The sequence below is a fragment of the Homo sapiens genome, chromosome 3 (assembly GCF_000001405.40).
Source record: "Homo sapiens chromosome 3, GRCh38.p14 Primary Assembly".
Taxonomy (NCBI): domain Eukaryota; kingdom Metazoa; phylum Chordata; class Mammalia; order Primates; family Hominidae; genus Homo; species Homo sapiens.
The window spans coordinates 13,033,183-13,053,983 of record NC_000003.12 but is presented as its reverse complement, the minus strand read 5'-3'; the positions used below and the strand labels follow the sequence as shown (position 1 = coordinate 13,053,983).

Here is a 20,801-nt window from a genome sequence, read left to right as displayed (position 1 = left end):
TAACTAAAACACATCTACACCCAGGCACAGGCACAGCCAGAAAGTCTCCTCAAATATTAACACTGGGGTATCCCCAGGGAGTTGGAATGGTGGATAATTTTATTTTCCTTGTTGTGTTTCACTGTTATTTTCTAAAGTTAGTACAGTGAATATATGTGACTTATTTAATAAGAGGGAGGGGGACAGTGGAACAGAGAGGTCTGTGGCCTCCCCACCCCTTTGGAAACTGAGGCAAATTACTCACACAACCCCTTCCAGGGTCTGTAGCAGTCTGAGGCGTCCCTGCCTCAGGCCCCTCCTGGGTCATGCCCTCACCCCAAACCACAGACCCAGCCCACTCGCTGGTAGGAGTGTGTTGCCGCTGGTGAGCCTAGTCATGGCAGCTGCTGGGGCTGTGAGCCGACTCCCAGAGTCTCCCTTCTCCCCGTGGTCCCTGCATTCCTTCCCTTTTCCTCCCATTCCGTCTCAGGAACACACAAGGTCATCGTCTGGCTGAGACAGCTCAGAGCTGCCTTTGGCCACCTAGACCCCGCCCTGAGGCCTGGATCCAGGTGTTCCTTCCAGAAAGCACAGGGTGTTCTGGAATAATTCTTACAGCAGCGAATGGGTTCTTTTAAAACGGACAGAACTGTCTAAGCTTGGAAGGCTCGAGGGGATTCACTGGTTCTGCATTAGGTTTGGGAGCTTCTGAAGCAGAAGGTACACATAGATGCTCCAGCAAGGATGACGTGCAGGTGGCAGAGAAGCTCATGGAAGGATGGGTCGCAGCATCCCCAACAGGGAAACAAGGTTAAAACCACAGCCAGTCCCCTCTCTTCCTTTCTCCATCATCGTGGTGTGTGCTTGAGTCCGCTTCTCGCCATGTCTTCTCACAAGACTTTCAGGAGTAAGCGATTCCTGGCCAAGAAAATAAAGCAAAATCGTCCCATTCCCCCGTGGATTCGGATGAAAACTGGTAATAAAATCAGGCACAACTCCAAAAGGAGACATTGGAGAAGAACCAAGCTGGGTCTATAAAGAATTGCACATGAGATGGCACACATATTGATGCTGTCTCAAGGTCACAATCATGTTGCCGTATCAAGCAGAAAATGTCACCACTATCTGGAGAGTTGGACATGTTTTATTGGGAATATATTTTTCTCTCTGAATATGTTATGAACGCGTTGGTTGGCTGGGTTCAGTAATAAATATGTGAGACCTTTCATTTAAAAAAAAAAACAGACATGGCACCACGTACGTCTGTCTGAATGGCTAACATAGAAAGGGACAACGTGAAATGCCAGGAGGGCTGTGGGGAAACTGGATCACTCACCCGTTGCTGGTGGGAGTGTGAGATGGCACAGCCATGCTGAAAAACAGTTTGGCAGTTTCTTTTAAAACTCATCATACACACACCATACGACCTACCATCTGGGCTCTTGGGCATTTCTTCCAGAGAATGAAGACTGGCGTCTACACAAACACCGGTCCAAGAACACTTGCGGCAGTCCTAGTCATAACAGCCCCCAAACTGGAAACTGCCCAGATGCCCTCAGCGGATGAATGGTTAAATACACTGTCCCAGCCACGCCGGGGAGCACTGCTCAGCAGAGAGGCAGAGCGGACCCTCCACGCCGAAGAGTGGCTGAATGCAGAGGGCATGGGGCTGAGTGCAGAAAGCCGGTCTTAAAAAGTGGCACACTGGATGATTCCATTTGTGTGGCACTTGAGAGATGAAAATATGATGGGGATGGAGAAGAGATAGGCAGTTGCCAGGGATAAGGGCTGGTGGGAAGAGGTGAGGGGGCTACAGAGGGTGCCCGGAGAGCCTGGTGAGGAGACGGTCCTGTGCTGTATCATCATGCTGGCCACACACAGCTAGGTGAGAGGGAACCATGTGGACACACAGGCATGTGTAACTGGTGAAGTCCCCATAGGCCCAGTGGGCTGTGGCTTTCCTAGCATTGATGGTGTACTGCAGGTGTGCAAGATATTATCTCTGGAAAAGGCTAGGGGAGGGGCACACAGGATCTTGTACCTTTTGTTTGGAACTTTCTGTACATCTATGGTTATTTCAAAATAAACAGTTTTTTTTTTTAAGCCCTAGGCGCAGGAACTTGGTCTGCATTAGGGCCCAAGCGTCCATATTTCTTAAAAGCACCCCAGGGTGTTTACCCTACAACCAGGATAGAAACACTGACCACTTCCTCATTTAGCAGAGGGAAACTGAGGCAGGGAGGGAGGTTTCCAAGACCACGCAAGTGCTGTGCAAGAAAGGGGATGACCACCAGTTCCAGCTGAGCCTGAGGCCTGAGCTTCTGTTGCTCCAGGCTGGTGCTGGAGACTGAACGTGAGGCAGACGGTTTGGTTTTTGTCTTCGTGTAAATTGATACTGAATTATTATATATGTACAGAAAAGTGCACAATTCATCAGCGTATGGCTTGTAGAATTGCCACAAACTGAACACACTCATGTAACCAGCACCTGACCTCAGAACAGACCCCACCCCAAGATCCCTGCCCCTGCCCCTGCCAGTCACAGTCACAGCCCATTCCCTGGGGCTGCTCTCCTGACTTTGTGCAGCACAGAGCAGCACTTTTTCCTGCTCTTGAACTTTGCTTCAATGGTCGGGTGCTGTTTAGAAGCAGTGCCAGGGTGTAGGCCTGGGGCAACCAGTTGGTTCTGAAAAGGAAAAGGAAGCAGCCTCCCCAGGAGGCTGTGAAGTGGGACTGGGGACAGAGGAGGAGGGGCCTCACTCAGCATGGCTGGAATGGGCTGCTTGTCTCTGAGCCAGAGGTGAAGGATGGAGGAGGGGCTGGAGCCCTGCCTAGCTGACTGGCAGCTCTGTGTCCATGAGCCTGGACCAGGGTCCTCCAAAGATCCTGGGGGTGAAGCAGGGGAAGCGATGCAGCTCTAGCAGGTGGACAGAACTCTGGACTTGGGGCTGGCAAACCTTCAGGGAAACTGGGTGCCACTGAGCTCGTTGCTGCACCTCTCTGAGCCCCAGTGCCCTCATACATAAAATGAGACTCATATATTCATATATATAACAAATATCTATTAATATAGAGTTAATGTGTTAAAAAATATGTGTGCATGTTAACATAATATATTTTATTTGTATTTTGTTGGTATCACACATTAATATATGTAATATAATACAATATAAGGTATATTGAATATCATGCAAATCTTTTGAGTCCTGTCCTAGTCAGAGCTAGCTTTTATGGAATGCCGACTCTGTTCTTGGCACTGTTTTAAGCCTTTTAAATGTATTAACCTGTTTAATCTTCCCAAAACATTACAGATGAAAAAGCTAAAATGGGGCACAGAGAGGTTAGTTAACTTGCCCAAGGGCACTCAGCTAGTAGGTGGCATAGCTGGGATTTGAACCCTGGCCCTCTTGGCTCTAGAACTCATGTGTTAACCTTTAAGCTCTTACGTCTCAACATACACTAGTCTATGTAATGATAATAATGATGTATCTCAAATATGCATGCAATGGCGTTTTCTGGTTTGCAAAGCCCTTTTACTTTATGGGCACTATCTCATTTCTCAACAGCTCTGGGAGGTGGGCGCTGTTATTGCTATCCCCGGGGCACACACAAGTTGGGGTTGGTTCCAAATTCAGGACTGCTGGGCTGAGGGTTCTCTCTGGGGACCCTGTGCACCCTCACTCTGGGCCTTTTTTGCTGGGGCCTGTTCCTGGCCTGTGCACTGCTGTGCTGAGTGATGAAAAAGGACGGCAGGGAGAACAAGGCCTCAGTCTTGGCTGGACAAGGCTGCAGACAACTTGGACCCAACAAGGCAGTTGACAGAGGGAGGGTCTCCATTCAGAGCCAGTCCTAGCTATACTGTCTTGGAGGGGTGGGGCACCGAGGCAGCTGGTGGGAGGAACTGCTGAGTGTTCCAGGCCACTGAGGATTTCTGGGGCGGGGGGTGGGGGTGCAGGTACACAGGTGGGGAGAAGTGGAGAGGGCAGGCAGGGGCCACTGCCTGCTGTGGGGTTCAGCACTGGGCCACAGCAGGCCTGCAAGGGCACATTGCATCCACCTGACAGTTTCCCGTCTTCACATGCAGACTTCAGCGACCGTACTGTCTGGTTGGAGAGAGAGTATTGCACACAGCTCAATTCCTTGGACCCATGTACCACAGCATGTAGGGTGTGACCGTACCTCTGTTGCATAGCTCAATGAGTTAATACCTGTGAAGTGTTAACACTCCTGCCACTCAGAAACTGCTCAAAAAATATTTGCTATTATTAGGAAAGTGAGAGAGAGGAGAAGAAAGAAAGGAAAGGAGGGAAACAGGAAAGGAAGAAGGAAGAAAGGAGTCCGCTGAGGGAGGGTGCAAGGTAGACAGAGAAAGGGGTTGACATTTGAGCAGGGTTTTGAAGGGCGATTAGGAGTTTGCGTCTGGATAAGGAGGCAGGGAATGGAATGGTGTTCCGTGTGTGGGGTCTCCGTGAGCCATACCTTCAGCCTCTGTGAAGTGGGAGCATGATTCCATGTACCTCATAAGGTTAATGCAAGGGTCGGATGAAGTGTGTGGGAAGAACACAGCCTGAGGTGGGCTCCCTGCAGTAGGTGAAGATATTGCTAGTTTGTCATGATGTGGCCAGAGTGAGATCAGAGCTGGGGAGTTGAATCTCTATGGCTGTGGCAGGGCAGCCCTGGGCCTGGGAACAGTGGGCTCTGCCTGTGGGGCCCAGGAACCTGGCACCATTTTGCAGTATTTTCGTCGCATCGTATCGGTATCATCTCATGTGGCTCGTGTGCAGCTGAGCGGCCAGGCTGGGGGATGGAGGGCTGGGTCCTCTTGTCCAGATCCAGGACTCCCTGAAGGCCAAAATTCCTCACCATGCCCAGTGTGGGTTCTGGCACTGGAAGGCAGGGAAGGCCTGCTTGCCACCCCGCTAGCTCTCCCTCCTATAAAACCTGTTGCCCATCCCAGATTGGGCACAGGACTGTGACCAGTCCAGGAAGTGAGCTCACAGCGTCTTGGCACCACCCCTCATGTCTTCTTTTCTTCATGAGCTTTGGCAAGGCATGGCTGCCACACAGGTAGAGCTGCTGAGCCAACAGAGTGTGGCCCTGGGTGGGTTCTGGCTCAAGGGGAGAGGGGTGCCACCTGGGGCCTCTTCTGCTGGGGCTGGAGAAGAAGGAGGCATTGTGCTGTGGATGGGAGTCCCTAAGGGATGGCGTGTGGAGCAGGGCCTGGCATTGGGGATTCGAATCTGCTGAACATAGGATCTACCAGCGGCCACAATGGCAGCTAGACAGGAAGTAGCGGAATCACAGGCCAGCATGGGACACGGGAAGGAAGGTCAGCCTCCTTCCAGGGGTGTGTCCAGCAGGGCTCTTGTATGAGAGCAAGTAGGGAAACGGAGGCTAAAGCTGGGACGACCCATGGCAGGCACCCAGCTTGGGCCCAGAATGTCAAACCCCACTGTGGCCAAACATAGGCCCAGGCTTGGCCTGTGCCCTGGACTTCTAAGGCCTCAGGTGGGGAGAAGTGTGTGAGGCAGCGATGGGGGGTGTGGGTGCCCCATGCCGGAAGGCAGGTGGCATTGGAGAAGAGGGTATTCCAAGGGCATGGTCTCTAGGGATGAGTTCTGTGTCATAGCTGATGCTCCCCAGGTGGGCAGGTACAGGCAGTGTTGTGGGGATGGGGCCCCCCAGCCTCCAGGAAAGCATCACTCCACGCCCTGAAGACACAGAATGTGAGGTGTGCTGCCAGGCAGAGCAGACAAGAGACAGTCCTTTCAGATGCATTCGTTGCCCCTGTGAGAGATCTGCTTTTCCTACTCCCATTTTACACATGAGGAAACTGAGGCACAGAGAGGTGAGGGGACAGGCACCAAGTCTATGGCTAGTCATGGGTGGAGGTGGGATGTGATCCTAGTTGGGCTGGCTCCAGGCCCACACCCCATAGCACAGACCGAACTTGGTCAAAGGCAGGAGGCAGGACCCAGGCTCCTGGGCCCAGATCCAGAGCTGGACGCCGAGTCTCTGGGCAGGAAATCAGGGCTCCAGGGCCCCTGGGCTGCCGGCATGGAGGCTGGGTGGGCCCAAACCCATGGGTCTGCTGAGATTCCTGGTGCAGGGCTCTTTGGGGAAGGAGCATGGTGGCTCAGGTCAAACATACCCGAGGTTAAGTCTGGGTCCAGCCAGAGAGGACCTTTAACCCTGCCCACTGCGCTTCCTCTCCTTGAGCCTCAGTTTCCCCATCTGAACAGGGGGCAGTGGGACTTGACATTGCCATGGGGTAGAGACAAGGCAGCTTCTCAGTTGAGCCAGCAGGGGGAAAGAAAGCACATGGTTTCTTGCATGTGGGGCAGACGCTCTTCCCAGGGCTGCTCAGTTGCCCCAGGACCTGTCCTGGGACCACCTGCTGGGGCCTGAGTGGACATGGCCCCCAAGGGGTTTGCTGTGTGTGTGGGACCATAAGTAACCCTGTCTCGCTTTTGCCACCTCAGGAGCTCCCTGGACACCGGAAGCAGCCTCTCCACTGACCGCTACAGGTACTGTCTTGCCGTCCACCCCAGCCTGCCCCAGGATCTCCTTAGGTCCTCACTGCCCATCTGCACCCAGAGGCAGGCCTCCAAGAGCCCTTTGGGGGAAATTAGCTCCACCATTTGGCCCTGAAATTCCCCCAAGGGCCAGAGGTACTACTGATATGTCCCCTGAGAGCTTCTACAGCTTGGAGTGGTTTCCCCTCAAATCAAGGTCCCCCCAAAGACCAGGACTGCAGTCGAAGTTCTGCCCCCAAAGACCAGAGCTCAGCTGAAGGCCCCTCGGAGGATCAGGCTGCAGCTGATAGTTCTTCCGAGATCCAAGGCTGGTGGGTCTCCCAAGGACCAGCCTGCAGCCGGCAGTTCCCATGACGACCAAGGCTGCAGCCCAGGGGAGAAGCCTGTTGGTTTCTATTGGTGTGCAGCTGCGCTTGGTGGGAGCTGGGGTGTCTGAGGGTCTCTGCTTCCGTGTGCTTTGTATCTTGATGTCTTCCAAAAAGAGCATTTTCTGTTTTCACACACACAAAAAAATACTGGAGACTGCGCTTAGAGGAAAGCTCCCTTGATTGGAAGCCAGCAGATCCTTGTTCCAGTCTCGTGGGCAAGAAAGACAAGTGACAGGCAGACTGTCCTGGCAGTGGAGGTGGCTTAGAGGGCTGTGTTCGGTGCATCGATGTGAATTGGGGAGGAGGGGACATCTGTGCTGCGTTGTAGAGGTGACTAGAGGTTGACTGGTTCCCTGTTTGGAGGGTGGGAGACAAGTGGTCCCGGAAGGGAGCACCCTGTGTAAGGACCTGTGGAGGGTGGATGTGGCCGGGCCATGGAGAGGGAGGAGGGGAGTTGGGGGAGGTTTGGGAGGGAGCTTCGTCCTGCTAAAGAGCTTGGCTTCTGGGAGAGGGGGTTTTTGAACAAGCCCAAAAAGAGACTCACAAGGTCGTAGGCCCTGTCCCTGGAGACAGCAACCAAGGGCTGGGCCCCACGTGTCAGGGTTGCAGCAGATGCTATACAGGAAGGAGATGTCAGAGCGACCGACTCTGAAACTCTGGGCTGCAGGGAGCGAGGGGGTGGCCATCTGGGCCCTGCTTCCCTGAGCCAGCTAGGGACTGGCAGCCCCGCCGCGTGCGCTCCTGGAGGACACAGCCAAGTGGTACACACGTGTACACACATGAGCGACACGCTCACGCAGTCACCTGATCCTCTGCACGGACACTCCACAGTCACACCCACATATCATCATAACAGTACTTCCTTTGCTTTGTGAAAGCTGACAGCCCTTATGGCCCAGCGAGTCAGGGCTATTGTTAGCCCACTCCACAGACGTCACCTGCTCAGGATTCGAGACTGCGGGGGCAGAGCCGGGATTTGAACATTTGGGTATCCTGGTGTGAATACTGCCCAACACCGTAGCACACTCCCTGCCCTCATACTAGTAGTTCCTCATATGCCCATTGCATAATCTCACACGCACACACGTATACACACAGACTCCAGAACATTCCCACACCCAGTTCTTCCTGTAGTCAAATGCTAGCATTGTCACTTTTGCACATGGGTGAACACACAGCCCCCATTTTGACACATATGTGCTTGCGGGCTCACACTGGTACACACACTCTCACCCCTGATGGGATGGCTCAGGGTGCCAGCAGGCGTGTGGGTTCCTGTGTCAGGGTGGCCCCAGGGAAGGAGGCTGAGGAGGCTCCTGTAGGGGCTGAGCCTGGCCTCTGCACCACCCACCCATGCCACGGGCGCCACTGCAGCTCCATCTGAATTGTCCACTCCGCCGGCCAGTCAGTCAGGTGCCCTGCTCGAGGCCAGCCCAGGAAAGTTCTGGTATGCAGGGAGTGTGGATGGGGCTCTTTGTTCTAGGATGTGTGGGGGCCTAGCAGGTTCCGTGCTCCTGCCCACTTGGGTCTCACTGCACAGCCCTCCATCGGATGGAGCCACACTTGACCTCAGAGCCAATGCCCCAGTGCCTCACTCCCTGGAGGACAGAGCAGGGATCAGAGCGGAGGCCGTAGGAGCCCCTCAGCTCTGCTGTTTCCCCGCCTGCATTCAGCCACATTTCCTGAGCACCTGCGGGTGTCGGGCACTCAGGATCCCTCGTTGAGCAGTCCTGCTGCCTTCACAGAGCATCTGTGGCAGGCAGGAGCACAGGCAGCAAGCAGAAAAAGAAACTGGTTTTTAACATAACGTGTCAAGTGGTGACAAGAGCTATGGAGAAAATAAATCCAGGTGAAGGGAATAGACAGAGATGGGAGGGTGGCCAGGGAAGGCCTCTGGGCCTGGAAGCACAGGAGGGGTGAGGAGCATCCCAACAGTCTGGTGGGAACAGCGGTGCAGAGGCCCTGGGGTGGAGCATGCCTGGAGGAGTGGCCAGGAGGCAGATGCTAAGTGGGGCCTGCCCCATCCTGCCATCTTGCCTTGGCATGCGTCCTGACTCCCAACCCTCACAGCAGCCTCAGACACAGACAGGGCCAGGATCAATGTTCCCCTTTCACAGATGAGGGTACCTGAGACCAGAAGAGCATTGGTGCCAGGTCCAGGACTAGGGCCCAGGGCCCCCGCTGCTACCAGAACTCTGTGCCCTTTTTGTGCAGTGGAGGCACCAGCTCTGCTGCTGGGGGCAAGCTTCTGAGAATCCCAGCCTTCGGAGGTTCTGGAGGCCTGTGCACAGCCTAGGAATTCAGAAACAAAGGTCCCAGCCAGTAATTGCTGCCTTTCAAAGGCACAGCCGGCTTCCTCTGCCACAGGCGTGAGAGGGAAGCTAATGTCCTTCTCCAGGAGTGTGGGGGGGCGGGGGAGGAGTGGGCAGCACTTCAGGGCTGCTGGCCCCGCCTGTGCTACCTTGCCAAACAGGCTCATCACACTCGGCAGATCGCCTCTCCCCTGCCTGCCCCCAGTTATCAGCCCAAGTTGGGGTGTCTTGCGTCCAGCCTGGGTCCATTCCGATGACACTGGGTGTCCCCCTTTACCTCTGGCCTCGCACTCCCCGACTGTATTATAAGAGGCTTGGACCCAGCCATTTGGAAAGCTTTCCCTTTCCAGCCATCCAGGACGGGTACCTCCAAGGGAAAGTGACTACAGACAGGGTCTCCCAACCTTGGCACTACTGACATTTTGGGCAGGACCATTCTCTGGTGTGGGGGCTGTCCTGTGCATGGTAAGGTGTTTAGTGACATCTAAATGCCACTGGATGCTGGCACTCTCTCCCCATTTGTGACAACCAAAATTTCTCCAGATATTACCAGATGTCCCTGGGGGTGGGGGGATGACCCAGACGCCTCTGGTTGAGAACCATTGCTCTAGAAGCAGCATTTTTGCTAATGACACTGAGAAAATGCCACCTGAGGTGGGAGACTTTGTTCTTTGGCTTTGCATGGGGTGAGATCAGGCCTCTGGTTCCCAGCCTGGCCCTTGGAAGCTGAGCAGCCTTGCTAGAGGCACACAGAGCCTTGTCTTTTTTGTGGCACCAGCTCCCATCCGACCGCCTGGATGTCACCCCCCTGAGCAGCAGCTCCTGGACTCTGTGTGCACACCTCTGGGGATGGGGTCTTCTCTGTGCCTCTGTTTCCTCATCTGAGGGGGAGTGGGGAGGTAGCAAGACCTCCTCGTCTGAATGGAGTGTGACCACTGCTTTGCAAACGATGTCGGGTTGTGCAAACCTGGGCCCCAAAGCGGCCAGAGGGGGTGAGTGTGGTGCCTCTGAGAGCCTTTCACACACTATACAAGATCCTTCCTTCCTTCCACAAATGATTATCGAGGCTCCTCCAGTGGGCCGGCCCTTAAAAGAGATGTGGCCCCTGCCCTGGAGTCGTTGCTTGTAGTCAGGAGAAAGACAGTTAACAAGTAAACATGCAAAAGCAGGATCCTTTCAGAGGATGGGATGTCCCATGGAAAGAATCAGACAGGGTAGTGGCTGAAGGGGGCTGAGCTGCTATAGCTTAGACACGAGGGGTGCTGGAGTGGGACCTGACTGACGAGGAGGAGCGGAGCTGCAGGAAGTGCACCCGAGAGCAGACTGCATGGAACCAAAGGGTGTGCCGGATTCATGGGGGTGAGGGTGGCTACTGTATCTGGGACCCAGAGCCTCAGACTTTCAGGTGGCTAGTGTGTGGGAAATGGGCCATGGGAGGGTTGGAGCAGACGCCGGGACCAGCCAGATCCCAGGAGATACAAGGGGAGAGGTGAGGGTGGGCCAGGGACTCCTTTCCTATTGTCTGTGACTGCCAGGTCCCCTGGCCTGTGGGGCCACCCATTCTGCCTGGGGTCCCTCTGCCCAACAATGCGCCTGGTTGTCTGTGGCCCTGCAGCTCAGCCGCTCCCCTCCCTGGTTAGCGACAGGATTCCCCTGCCGGCAGCCAATGAGCGGCTGTCATAGCGGTTCCATTTTAGATTTTATCAATGTGTCCCCGTCGCCCAGGCAACGGCAGGCGCTGGGCGACCCTGTCAGTCTTCCTTCGCCTGCCTTTCAGAGCCCAGCTGCCCCCACCCCAAGCACCATGTGGCTACATGGTGAGTTTTCCCTCGCACAGGCCGAACAGGGATTCCGCCAAACGTAATTTATCTGGCAAAAGAGGCCAGTGTTTGCCTGTCATCTGGCCCCCTCCCTACCTGCTCTCCCTGGGTCTTCCTGGCCTCAGCCACTCTGGGCCAGCCAGGCGGGTGTAGGACTGTCCAGCCAGTGCCGGCCCCACCACCCGGAGCCCCAGGGCCTGGTTGGAAGAACAGACTTGCAGAGCCACCGTCAGGAGCCCTAGCATCCAGACCCCCCAGGATGATGGACTGGGGGCCCCCACAACTTGATACAGCCAGAGCTGCCTTGGTGTGTCCCAGGGACCCCCAGGGAAGCCCTCGGAGGCACCAGCTAACAGAGACAGCAGCAGCATGAGCCGGGCCAGGCGAGCTGCGTGAATGAGTTGCTAGGCTTTTGTGCTGGCTGCTCTTTGTATTGGAGGCGTGTACTGTACAAGCTGCGCCGGGCGGGCTGGGCCATGTGAGTGGGGGCCGCCGTGGCAGGGACCAGGGCGGGCCGAAGCAGCCGGTTCTCCACCTCCCACTAGCCCCTCTCCGTGTCTCCGCGGAGACGTTACCGTGGTCCAGCTGGAGACCAAAAGGTGAAAATGCTCAAGTTCAAGGCCTTTTGCCTGGATTACTGGCAGTTCCTGTGCCTACAGCCCCTGCATGGAGCCTACAAAAGGTAAGTCGACCCTCTGGGGAGAGCCTTGGCCACTAGGGCAATGGGACCTGGAGAGAAAGTTCGCCCTGATCCTGCCCGATTGCAGGGCTTCCTCCTCTTGGCGGAGGGTCCCCGTCACTGGCCAAGACCAGCAGCAGCGTTTGTCGTGGTTCACTTTGCAACTGGGCTTAACTATTCTTTCCTCTCCCTCTGGCCTGAAACTGGTAGAGTTTCTGCAGAGAAAGAGTCACCCTGGACTGCTCTGTGGCCAGGCACTGTGTTTCATTGTTCCTTGCTGCCGGGGTGAGCCCTAGGCAGGGAAGCTGCACCGGCCCGGGGTCCCCGGCCTGCTCTTTCCCGGTACACTTGCTCCGACCTCGTGGGCTGGATGACTCAAGGGTTGGCCTGCCTCCTCCCTAAGCACAAGTTTGGGGAGGCAGAGTTGGGGGTCCCCTGGTCAGGAGATCAGGAGCCCGAAGTTCAGTCCCTTTCCTGGCTGCGCGATCTTGGGCGAGTCACTTTCCCTCTTTAAGCCTGTTTCCCAACTGTAGGGATTCGGATTTGATGACATGGATTTGGGGACTGCTCCCTGAGGTGACAGGGGCTGCAGGCACCACAAGCCCGAATGTTCATACCTCCGGCAGGTTCTTCCGAGCGTGTGTGTTCTGTCCAGTGCACACCTTGGTCAAGAAAGAACCACATCCGGGCCAGCAGGAGATCATCATGGAGCCGTCGCCATGGTCACCTTGAACGGCGTGTTATTAAAGACCTGGAGGAGGGAATTGTCCCGTCTATTCTGAGGGAATTAGTTTTTCCTGATTTCACACTCTGTGAAGTCTGCGGCCATTAGCATACGAGCAATTCTGGGAAAGTGTGGGAGCTTTTCTTCTTCCTTCCAGTGGGCTTTCTCCAAAGGGGGCGGGCACGGAGGGTCTCACGGCAGCTGTAGAAAGGAAGTCCCTGCTCTTGGGAGGGTGCCAGCGAGAGAGGCCTGTCCTGCGTCTGATTAGTGCAAGCCACATCAGAGAGGAGCCCGACACCCAGTGGGCCCTGAGCGCTGTGGTGCAGCCTTTCACCCCACCCCCCGCCCCCAGGCTTGTTCATGCGGCCTCAGGAGGGCATGTCCGGCTGTCAGTGATTCGGTGTCTACCGCGGTGGGGCACTTTATATACTTAATTGTTCATCCTCATCCCTCCTGCAAAAGAAGCATTAAAGCCCCTGTGCGCAGGTGAGCAGAATAAAACCAGAGGGCAGGCAACTGCAGAAGAGTGGCCACGAGATCTGACCCCTGTCTTTCCTGTCTCGAGATGCAATCTCTCTTGAATGTCTACAGTCTCAGTCCATGCAGACGCCGGAGTCCTGGGCCAGGCAGGGACAAATGAGGGACAGACCCTGCTCCACAGGGCTCAGCTAGCCAGGCATGAGTCGCGGTCAGAGTCTTGAAAGAGGAGCAGGGCTGGGTGCGGGGGCTTCATGGAGGAGGTGACAGCTGAGCCAGGTGGTAAAGTGTCTGGAGGAGTTTGCTGGGTTGAGATGGGGAGCACAGGTGTTCCAGACAGAGGGGAAACCACATGGGAAAAACCCAGAGGCTTTAAAAGGGAAGGGTGTCTTTGGGTCATGGCAAAAGGCCATGGAGCTGGGAAGGGGTACCAGGGGCTGGGGCTCAGGACCGGAGCCTGGGCCTTGTCCTGCATTCAGTGGGGAGCCCATGAAGGATCTTAGTGGGCAAGTGGCAAACTGAGAGTCACACTCTGGGGGCCACGTGGTCCAAGTGTGAGAGGCGTGGCTCAGGCTCTAGGAGGAACCCGTGAGAGCGCTCTTTGTCCCCTCCCCTGACCTATGGAGGTTCTTACTCAGAGCCTGTGCTCTTGTTCTTAAGCCCTGACTGTGCCTGAAAGACAAATGAGACTAATCCTTGAGGAACTCCCAACCTACAAAGGGAAAAGACCTATTAACAACTCATGAATGTTAAGAATGGGGTATAAACAGAGGGTGCACAAATTACCAGCAGCCTGAGGGAGGTCTTATTGGAAGGCTTCCTGCAGGAGGTGGCATCTGATCCGGGCCTAGACATGGGAGTTGGAATTTTCCAGACAGGGAAGGGCACTGTGGGTGGAAAACAAAGCACGAACAAACGTATGGTGTGGGACCAAGCCTCACATGGTGCATAAATGATCAGAGGTGAGGCTGAAGCCTAGGTGTGTGTCAGGGGAAGAGCTAGAAAGGAAGGTGGGGCAGGGAAGCTCAGTGAGTGTCTGCTACATGTGAGGCTTCATTCTGAGCACCAACTCTGCGCGCTAATGCCACGAAGTGGAGTCATGATTCTTCCATTTTCCAGGTGAAGAAACCAAAGCACGGGGAGAAGTAGCTTGTCCAAGGGCTCATGGCCAGTCGGTGGTGCCACTGGGATTTAACCAGGGGATCCAGCTGTGGAGGCTGCATGCTGCCAGCTGAGCAGCTCGGTCTGTCCACCCTGGCAAATGACATGCTGAGGGCTGGGGGCAGTCATCTTTCCAGCAGTTGTCGACCAGAAATAATGATAATGCATCAGCCAGGTGGGCAAGAACTCAGACTTTGTGGTCAGACCTCGCTGTGGCAGGGAGCTTAGAAAAGTCACTTTTCCTCCACAGCTGTGTAACATGGGGAAAGGGGGATGCTCAGCTCACCTCTCATGGCCCTTGTGTGGGGATTTCAAGGGTAAATGCTGGAAAAGCACTGAATATACAGCACTTAGTAGAGGCTTTGCAAGCGGCTGTCCTCACCCAAACGGATCCTTCCCCAGGAAAGCTCTGCAAATGGAGCCACTTGGCTTTTTGCCTGATGCCATATTCCGTTGTTTAAAACGGCGATCCCAAACTTAAGAGTATGAAAGGGGTGTTTTGCAGACAATGCATAATTAACCACTTCTAAACACAGGGTGTGCCAGGCTCCCTCAAAGCTGTTAATTATTCTTCATTAGTGATCTTAAGTTAATGTAAAATAATCCTGGAGCTCTGCCAGAGGCTCGGGCAGGGGAAGGAGCAGAGCCGCTTATTTCAACTAGCAAACGGAAAGAAATCTTCACGGGGCGCCTCTGCGTTCTGCCTTGGTTGTGGGGAGATGCCTCTATAGACTCTTTAGCTCTGGCCCAAAGGCCATTGTGGGAGGCGGCAAGCCCTCTCCCAAGTTCCCAGAGCCCAGCCGACCTCAGGGTACTTTGGTTAATGAAATAGTTCAGGTGGGAAGAAAATATGGAGGAGAGTAGTATACCCATCGCCCAGCTTCCAAAATAAGCTGTTAATGGTGTGGTGGACTGCCCCTGTGGGCCACCCCACAAATCTTATCCCTTTCCTGCTTCCCCAGAGCTAAGCCTAAACAGTCCCTCTTGTTTGGTGTGTAGATTTCCCATGCACATTTTTTTAAATTGCTGTAGGTACATAGTAAGTGTATATATTTATGGGGTACGTGAGATGTTTTGACACAGGCACGCAATGTGAAATACACACTTCATGGAGAATTCATGGCTTAGTGAGCTTGCTTTCCAAAGTGGCCCTGGCAGTATGTAGCCTTACCAGCAGTGGGTGAGAGTCCTGTGTCCCTACATTCTTTCCCCCGACATTGAGGGTATCCATCCCCTCAAGCATTTATCCTTCGAGTTACAAATAATCCAATTATACTCTTTCAATTATTTTTAAGACGTACAAATCAGTTATTATTGGCTATAGTCACCCTATTGTGCTATCAAATAGTAAGTCTTATTCACTTACTCATTCCTTCTATTTTTTGTATTCATTAACCATACCTACCTCCCCCTCTGTCCCCCGACTACCCTTCCCAATTCTGATAACTGTCCTAGTCTCTATGTCCATAAGTTTAATTGTTTTGATTTTTAGATCCCACAAATAAGTGAGAACATGTGATATTTTGTTTTTCTGTACCTGGCTTATTTCACTTAACATCATGACCTCCAGTTCCATCCATGTGGTTGCAAATGGCTGGATATCATTTATGGCTGAATAGTACTTCATTTTATATATATATATATATATATATATATATATATATACACACACACACACATATATATACTTGTATATTTATATATCCTTATATATTTCTATATATTTTTATACATACTTATATATACTTATATATATATTCATATATATACCAAGTTTTCTTTATCCATTCATCTGTTGCCATGCATATTTTTACAGCGTTGCTAAAACAAAAGATGGTTTTACATGTTTTTAAACTTTAGATCATAGTATTATAAATTGCAAGTTGCTTTTTTAAAAGTTTTACTTGTGGTAAAATACACATAGAATTAAAATCCACCATCTTAACCATTGTACAATTCAGTGGCATTAAGTACATTCACGTTATTGTGCAATCATTCCCACCGTCCATCTCCAGAACTTTTTTATCCTCCCAAACTCTGTACCCGTTAAACACTAACTCCCCCCTCCCTTCACCCCCAGCAGCCACCATTCTACTTTCTTTCTCCATGAATTTCACTGCTCTGGGGACCTCATATGAATGGAATCAATACAGTATTTGTTTTTTTGTTATTTTATTATTTCACTTAGCAGAGTGGCCTCAAGGTTCATCCATGTTGTAGCATGAGTCAGAATGTCCTTCCTTTTAAGGCTGAATCATACTCCACTATAAGTATGGACCACGTTTTGCTTATCCTTTCATCCACGAATGGACGCTTGTGTTGTTCCCACCTGTTCACTATTGTGTGTAGTGCTGCTATGAACATGGGTGTGCAGATATCTCTTCAAGGTGCACCTTGTTTTTTCAGTCAACATTTTATTGGTAAGATTCATCCATATTGCAATGTATAGATCTCATCGATTCATTTTCACTGGTGTATAGTATTTCATGGTATAGCCATGCCCCGGTCTAAGTATCTGCTCTCCTGTTCTTGTGTATTTTGGTGATGTCCCATTTTTCGACATTACAGACAGGGATGCAGTAAGCACCCTTGCCCCTGCCTCCTTGTGCTTGGCTGCGGGCATTTATGGAGGGTTTGTACCAGGATGGCACATGAGTGTCTTCAACTTTCCTGGGCTTAGTGAACTTGCTTTCCAAAGTGGCCCTGGCAGTATGTAGCCTTACCAGCAGTGGGTGAGAGTCCCATGTCCCCACATTCTTTCTACACTCAATATTGAAAGCCAGGTGGTTTTTTTAATGTAAAGAGGAGAGAAAGAGAGATTCAGAGAGGAGAGCATGTAAATGGTGTGGGGGCACAACTGTAGCTTGACGCAGCCCCAGGCATCCTGGGGTGGAGGGTGAGGCACACATGTGCTGTTCCCTTGGTCTGTGTAGTTCCAGGCCCTCCACAGTAAGAGGCTTCCAAGGGTGGTAGGAACTCTGCCCACACGCTGACTTTGCAACCTCACCTTCAGCATGCCGTGGATGCCGTTGTCTGGTTCAGGATGTGGGACTAGTTCTGATCACACAAGGTGCCAACTGATCTCCTGATGCGCAGGTTTCACAGATTGCTTCTGTTAGAAAGAACAGAGGCCGCCAGGGATCTCTAAAACACAGCATCAAGGAACTCACTTTGGGACAAGCTCCCCAAACTGCCAGCTCAGTAAGGGAGCTCAGTGGACGGGATTCCAAGCACACAGCCTGAGAAGCTGGCCGAGCTTCCTGGGCTCATCCAGGGCTGTCGGGCACCCCCCACACCGCTGATGCCCTGGGCCTCATCTGTTGGCCAGGGAAGTTCAGTCCAGGGAGGAGTGGCTCTACAGGGGGCACCCTGGGTGGCTTTGTGGCTTGAGGGGACAGTGCAGTTCTGAAGTCAGGCGAAGTGGGAATGCAATCTGACTGGCTCCTTTCATAATTTTCTTTTTAAAAAAAATTATTTTTGTTTATTATTATTACTTTCTTTGAGTGTTTATATGTGCTAAGTGGCTTTGCATGTGGTATCTCTGTTAATCCTCACAACAGCCTTGTGAAAGGGATACTATTATTTTTTCCATGTTTCAGACAAGGAAAAACTGAAGGCAGAGAGGTTAAATGACCAGCCTAAAGTCACAGAAATGGAGTGCAGTTTATCAATCCAGGTGACCACCTCCACTGAGCTACACTATCTCGTGTCTCCTCCACACTAATGAATACTTTCTGACTGCATGTAACTGTCGCGGTTGTTATGACGGTGTAACACATCACCCCAAAACTTAGTGGTTTAAAATCCCATAGAACTGCAACTTGGGCAGAGCCTGCTCTACTCAATGTCAGCTGGGCTTTGAAGACTAGGAGCTGGATTCCTAGGAAGCCTCACCTGCCCACGCACCCACCCAGCCACTCACTCCCTTCCTCACCTTGCAAATGCTACTGGCTGACAGCTGAGACCTTAGCCAGGGCTGGCAGCCAAAACACCTGCACGGGACTCTCCATGTGGCCTGGGCGTCCTCAAAACATGGCGGCTGGGTCCCAAGGGCAAGCAATCCAAGGGAAAGAGAGCCAAGTAGAAATGGCCACCTTTTATGACCAGGCCTCAGAAGACACACAGCATCGCTTCTATGGCATGATCTTCACCAGGACAGTCACAAAAGTGCTGCCCAAGCCCATGGTGAAGGACTTAAACTCTACCCCTGCTCAGGAGTGGCAGGGTTCTGGCAGAGCGTTTGGGACAGGAGATGAGGTTGTGGCCCTGTTTGGAAATAGAATCTACCACAATAGCAAATCACTTCTCCGCTCTAACCCTCAGCATCCTGGGGTTGGGAAGAGGACCTAACAGGTGTAGGGACACTTGGGACCCAGTGGCATTCAATCAGTGGCAGGTTTTCTTTTTCTTAATGGAGTAAGTTGAAATGAAGTGTGGTGATTATTCAAGAGAGGGGGCAATCATTTCAGCTGGGGGAGCAGGAGAGGATTCTTAGAGTTTTAGAGCTGAGATGGGTCTTGAGGGCTGAGGAGGACTTCTCAAGTCCACGTAGGGAAGACAGTGTCCTTGGCAGAAGAGTCCTGAGAAGGATGTGCAGATGGTGCCTAGTGTCTGATGGAGTCTTTGGTGGAGGGCAACAGAAATCGCCACAGGCCAACTACAGCAAAAAGGGAGTTTACTGAGCCACTCTTAGGAGGTCAGGGGACCAGCAGGAAGCTGGATGTGGATTAGGAGCCGGGGCGCCTACTCTGTACCCCCAAGGGCAGGCTCACAGCTGTGAAAAAGGCTCCCTGGGAGCCCATGGCCCTGTGCCACCACTCAAGCTGTCAAGTCTCAGGAGAGTTTCACTGGCCAAGTTCAGGTCCTGTCCTGCCCCTTGGCAGTGCTGGGATGTCAGTGGAGGAGGAGAAAGCAGGACAGAGCCTCCAGGGACCACTGGGCTTCCATGGGGCACAGGCTTCTGAATTCCCACCCCACCAGCACTGTGCCCTGTCGGGGCGAGGCCGATCCCTGGGAGCATGGGAATACTGTTAGGGGAGCCTGTGTGCTGGACAGGAGCTGCATGTGGGCCTGTATTCCCTGCGATGGCGAGCATTAGCTCAGACACTTCTGTTGGGCTGGTGAGATTCAGGAGCCGGTGCAGGTGAGAAATACCCCAGAGGGTCAGGTTGACCAAACTGGCAGGGCCTTGAGAAACTTGTCCTCAGCAGAATAGTTGCAGTGAAGGAATGAGAATCAAGCATCCAGAGCTGAATCCGGCTGGTTTAGAGAGAGCAGCTGATCTCCTAGTGCGAGTCACGGGCTGCCTGGCCTCAGTCAGCAGATCCTCACTGAGCCCGTCCAGAGAGCATTTAAAGTAAGCGTTGCAGGTGCCAACAGGCTCCACACTGGCTCAGTCTTTCACTACGCCCTCTCCTCCTCCCCGGCTGCCTTCTGTGTTAGCAAGATCCCACTGGTGGCAAGAGGCGGGAAACGGGTGTTAGGTTCATGGAGATTTGATTCGGGGAAACGTTCTCGCTGGGTCAAGACCTTACGAGCTTCTCACCACAAACACTTCTTGCTCTTGGTAACTGCTGGATTTAGCACGTGAGATAAGTCCATCCCAAGTGACTGTTTGCACCTCAGCGGTTTCTTGGCAGCCACCGGCTTGGACAGGTCCTTCCTTCCGGAGGGGGAAGATCATGGCAACCTGAGGAGCTCCACTTGCCCAGTTGACTCTGGGGGGAGACGCCTGGGCCTGAGTGGTTGCAAGCTGAGCCCTTCGCCTGGCAGGGCCTGTCACAGGCTGAAAAGTGTCTCCCTGAATTCACATGCTGACGTCGTAACCCCAGTACCTCCAAATGGGACTGTATTTGGAAATAAGGTCTTTAAAGAGGAATGAAGGTGAAATGTGGGGATTAGGGTGGGCCCTAATGCAGTCTGACTGGCACCCTTATAAGAAAAGGAAATTGGGCCACCAACAGCGGGAACACCGTGTTCATCTCATGTGTCACCTTGCCTAGGCCATAAGGTGACCGGATGTCTGGTCACACATTACTCTGGGTGTGTCTGTGGGGTGTTTCTGGATGAAATGAACAATTGCACTGGGCTGAGTGAAGCCGACTGCCCTCCCCAGGCTGGGTGGTCCTCTTCCAATCAGTTAAAGGCCTGAATTGAACAGAAGCTCAGTAATCAGTAAGAGGGTCTCCTGCCTGGTGCCCACAGGCTGGGACGTTGGTATTTTCCTGCCTTCAGACTCAGATTGAAACACGGACTCTTCTTGGGTCTCAAGCCTGCTGGCATTTAGACTGAAACTAAGTCATCAGCTCTCCTGGGTCTCTTGCTGACTATAGATCTTGAGACGTGTCAGTCTTTGTAATCATACGAGCCAATTCCTTATTTTAAAAAATATATGTATATATATACATATACATATATATGCATCTCCTATTGGCTCTGTTTCTCTGGAGACCCCTGACTAATATGCCGTGTGAAGACACAGGGAGAACACAGCCACATACAAGCCAAGAAGAGAGGCCTCAGGAGAAATGCGCCTCGCTCTGACTTCCAGCCTCCAGAACTGTGAGGAAACTCATTTCTGTTGTTTAAGCCTCTTGGTCTGTGGTGTTTTGTTACGGAAGCCTCTGCAAATCAATACAGGGCCTCTCTGTCTTGATCTGTGAAGTGGGTACGAGGACCTGTCCTCGGGCTCGTCAGGAGACGCTGTCTGGGCGTGTATTCTGTGCCCTCAGAAGAGCTTATGTGC

The 20,801-nt window shown here is 52.9% G+C and overlaps 1 protein-coding gene and 1 pseudogene across 13 annotated transcripts in view, besides 7 other annotated features; both read left to right on the top strand.

Annotated features, from left to right (window-relative positions):
• The window catches only part of IQSEC1 (IQ motif and Sec7 domain ArfGEF 1), a 386,215-nt gene that overhangs the window by 229,274 nt on the left and 136,140 nt on the right, over window positions 1-20,801 (top strand). For 7 of the 13 annotated variants that reach the window (XM_047449347.1, XM_047449339.1, XM_047449346.1 and 4 more), the window contains one exon: window positions 6,462-6,506. The exons of 5 other annotated variants lie outside the window; for them this stretch is intronic. In XM_047449347.1, coding sequence (XP_047305303.1) covers window positions 6,462-6,506 — 45 coding nt within the window. Of the gene's footprint in view, window positions 1-6,461; window positions 6,507-11,563; window positions 11,698-20,801 lie in introns of those variants that run through there. One more of the 13 variants, XM_047449352.1, reaches the window with a different exon arrangement.
• RPL39P17 (ribosomal protein L39 pseudogene 17) lies at window positions 809-1,213 on the top strand (annotated as a pseudogene).
• Window positions 6,488-7,006: an enhancer, noted in NCBI's record as "H3K27ac-H3K4me1 hESC enhancer chr3:13088478-13088996 (GRCh37/hg19 assembly coordinates)". NCBI's record gives its function as "activates a minimal SCP1, AML or CMV promoter by ChIP-STARR-seq in naive H9 embryonic stem cells {active_cell/tissue: H9 hESC(naive)}" and the evidence as "EXISTENCE:reporter gene assay evidence [ECO:0000049][PMID:30033119]".
• Window positions 7,362-7,781: an enhancer, noted in NCBI's record as "active region_19478". NCBI's record gives its function as "activates an Ori minimal core promoter by ATAC-STARR-seq in GM12878 lymphoblastoid cells {active_cell/tissue: GM12878}" and the evidence as "EXISTENCE:reporter gene assay evidence [ECO:0000049][PMID:35858748]".
• Window positions 8,222-8,301: an enhancer, noted in NCBI's record as "active region_19477". NCBI's record gives its function as "activates an Ori minimal core promoter by ATAC-STARR-seq in GM12878 lymphoblastoid cells {active_cell/tissue: GM12878}" and the evidence as "EXISTENCE:reporter gene assay evidence [ECO:0000049][PMID:35858748]".
• Window positions 11,646-12,241: an enhancer, noted in NCBI's record as "H3K4me1 hESC enhancer chr3:13083243-13083838 (GRCh37/hg19 assembly coordinates)". NCBI's record gives its function as "activates a minimal SCP1, AML or CMV promoter by ChIP-STARR-seq in naive H9 embryonic stem cells {active_cell/tissue: H9 hESC(naive)}" and the evidence as "EXISTENCE:reporter gene assay evidence [ECO:0000049][PMID:30033119]".
• Window positions 13,082-13,141: an enhancer, noted in NCBI's record as "active region_19476". NCBI's record gives its function as "activates an Ori minimal core promoter by ATAC-STARR-seq in GM12878 lymphoblastoid cells {active_cell/tissue: GM12878}" and the evidence as "EXISTENCE:reporter gene assay evidence [ECO:0000049][PMID:35858748]".
• Window positions 13,162-13,251: an enhancer, noted in NCBI's record as "active region_19475". NCBI's record gives its function as "activates an Ori minimal core promoter by ATAC-STARR-seq in GM12878 lymphoblastoid cells {active_cell/tissue: GM12878}" and the evidence as "EXISTENCE:reporter gene assay evidence [ECO:0000049][PMID:35858748]".
• Window positions 18,535-19,035: an enhancer, noted in NCBI's record as "H3K4me1 hESC enhancer chr3:13076449-13076949 (GRCh37/hg19 assembly coordinates)". NCBI's record gives its function as "activates a minimal SCP1, AML or CMV promoter by ChIP-STARR-seq in primed H9 embryonic stem cells {active_cell/tissue: H9 hESC(primed)}" and the evidence as "EXISTENCE:reporter gene assay evidence [ECO:0000049][PMID:30033119]".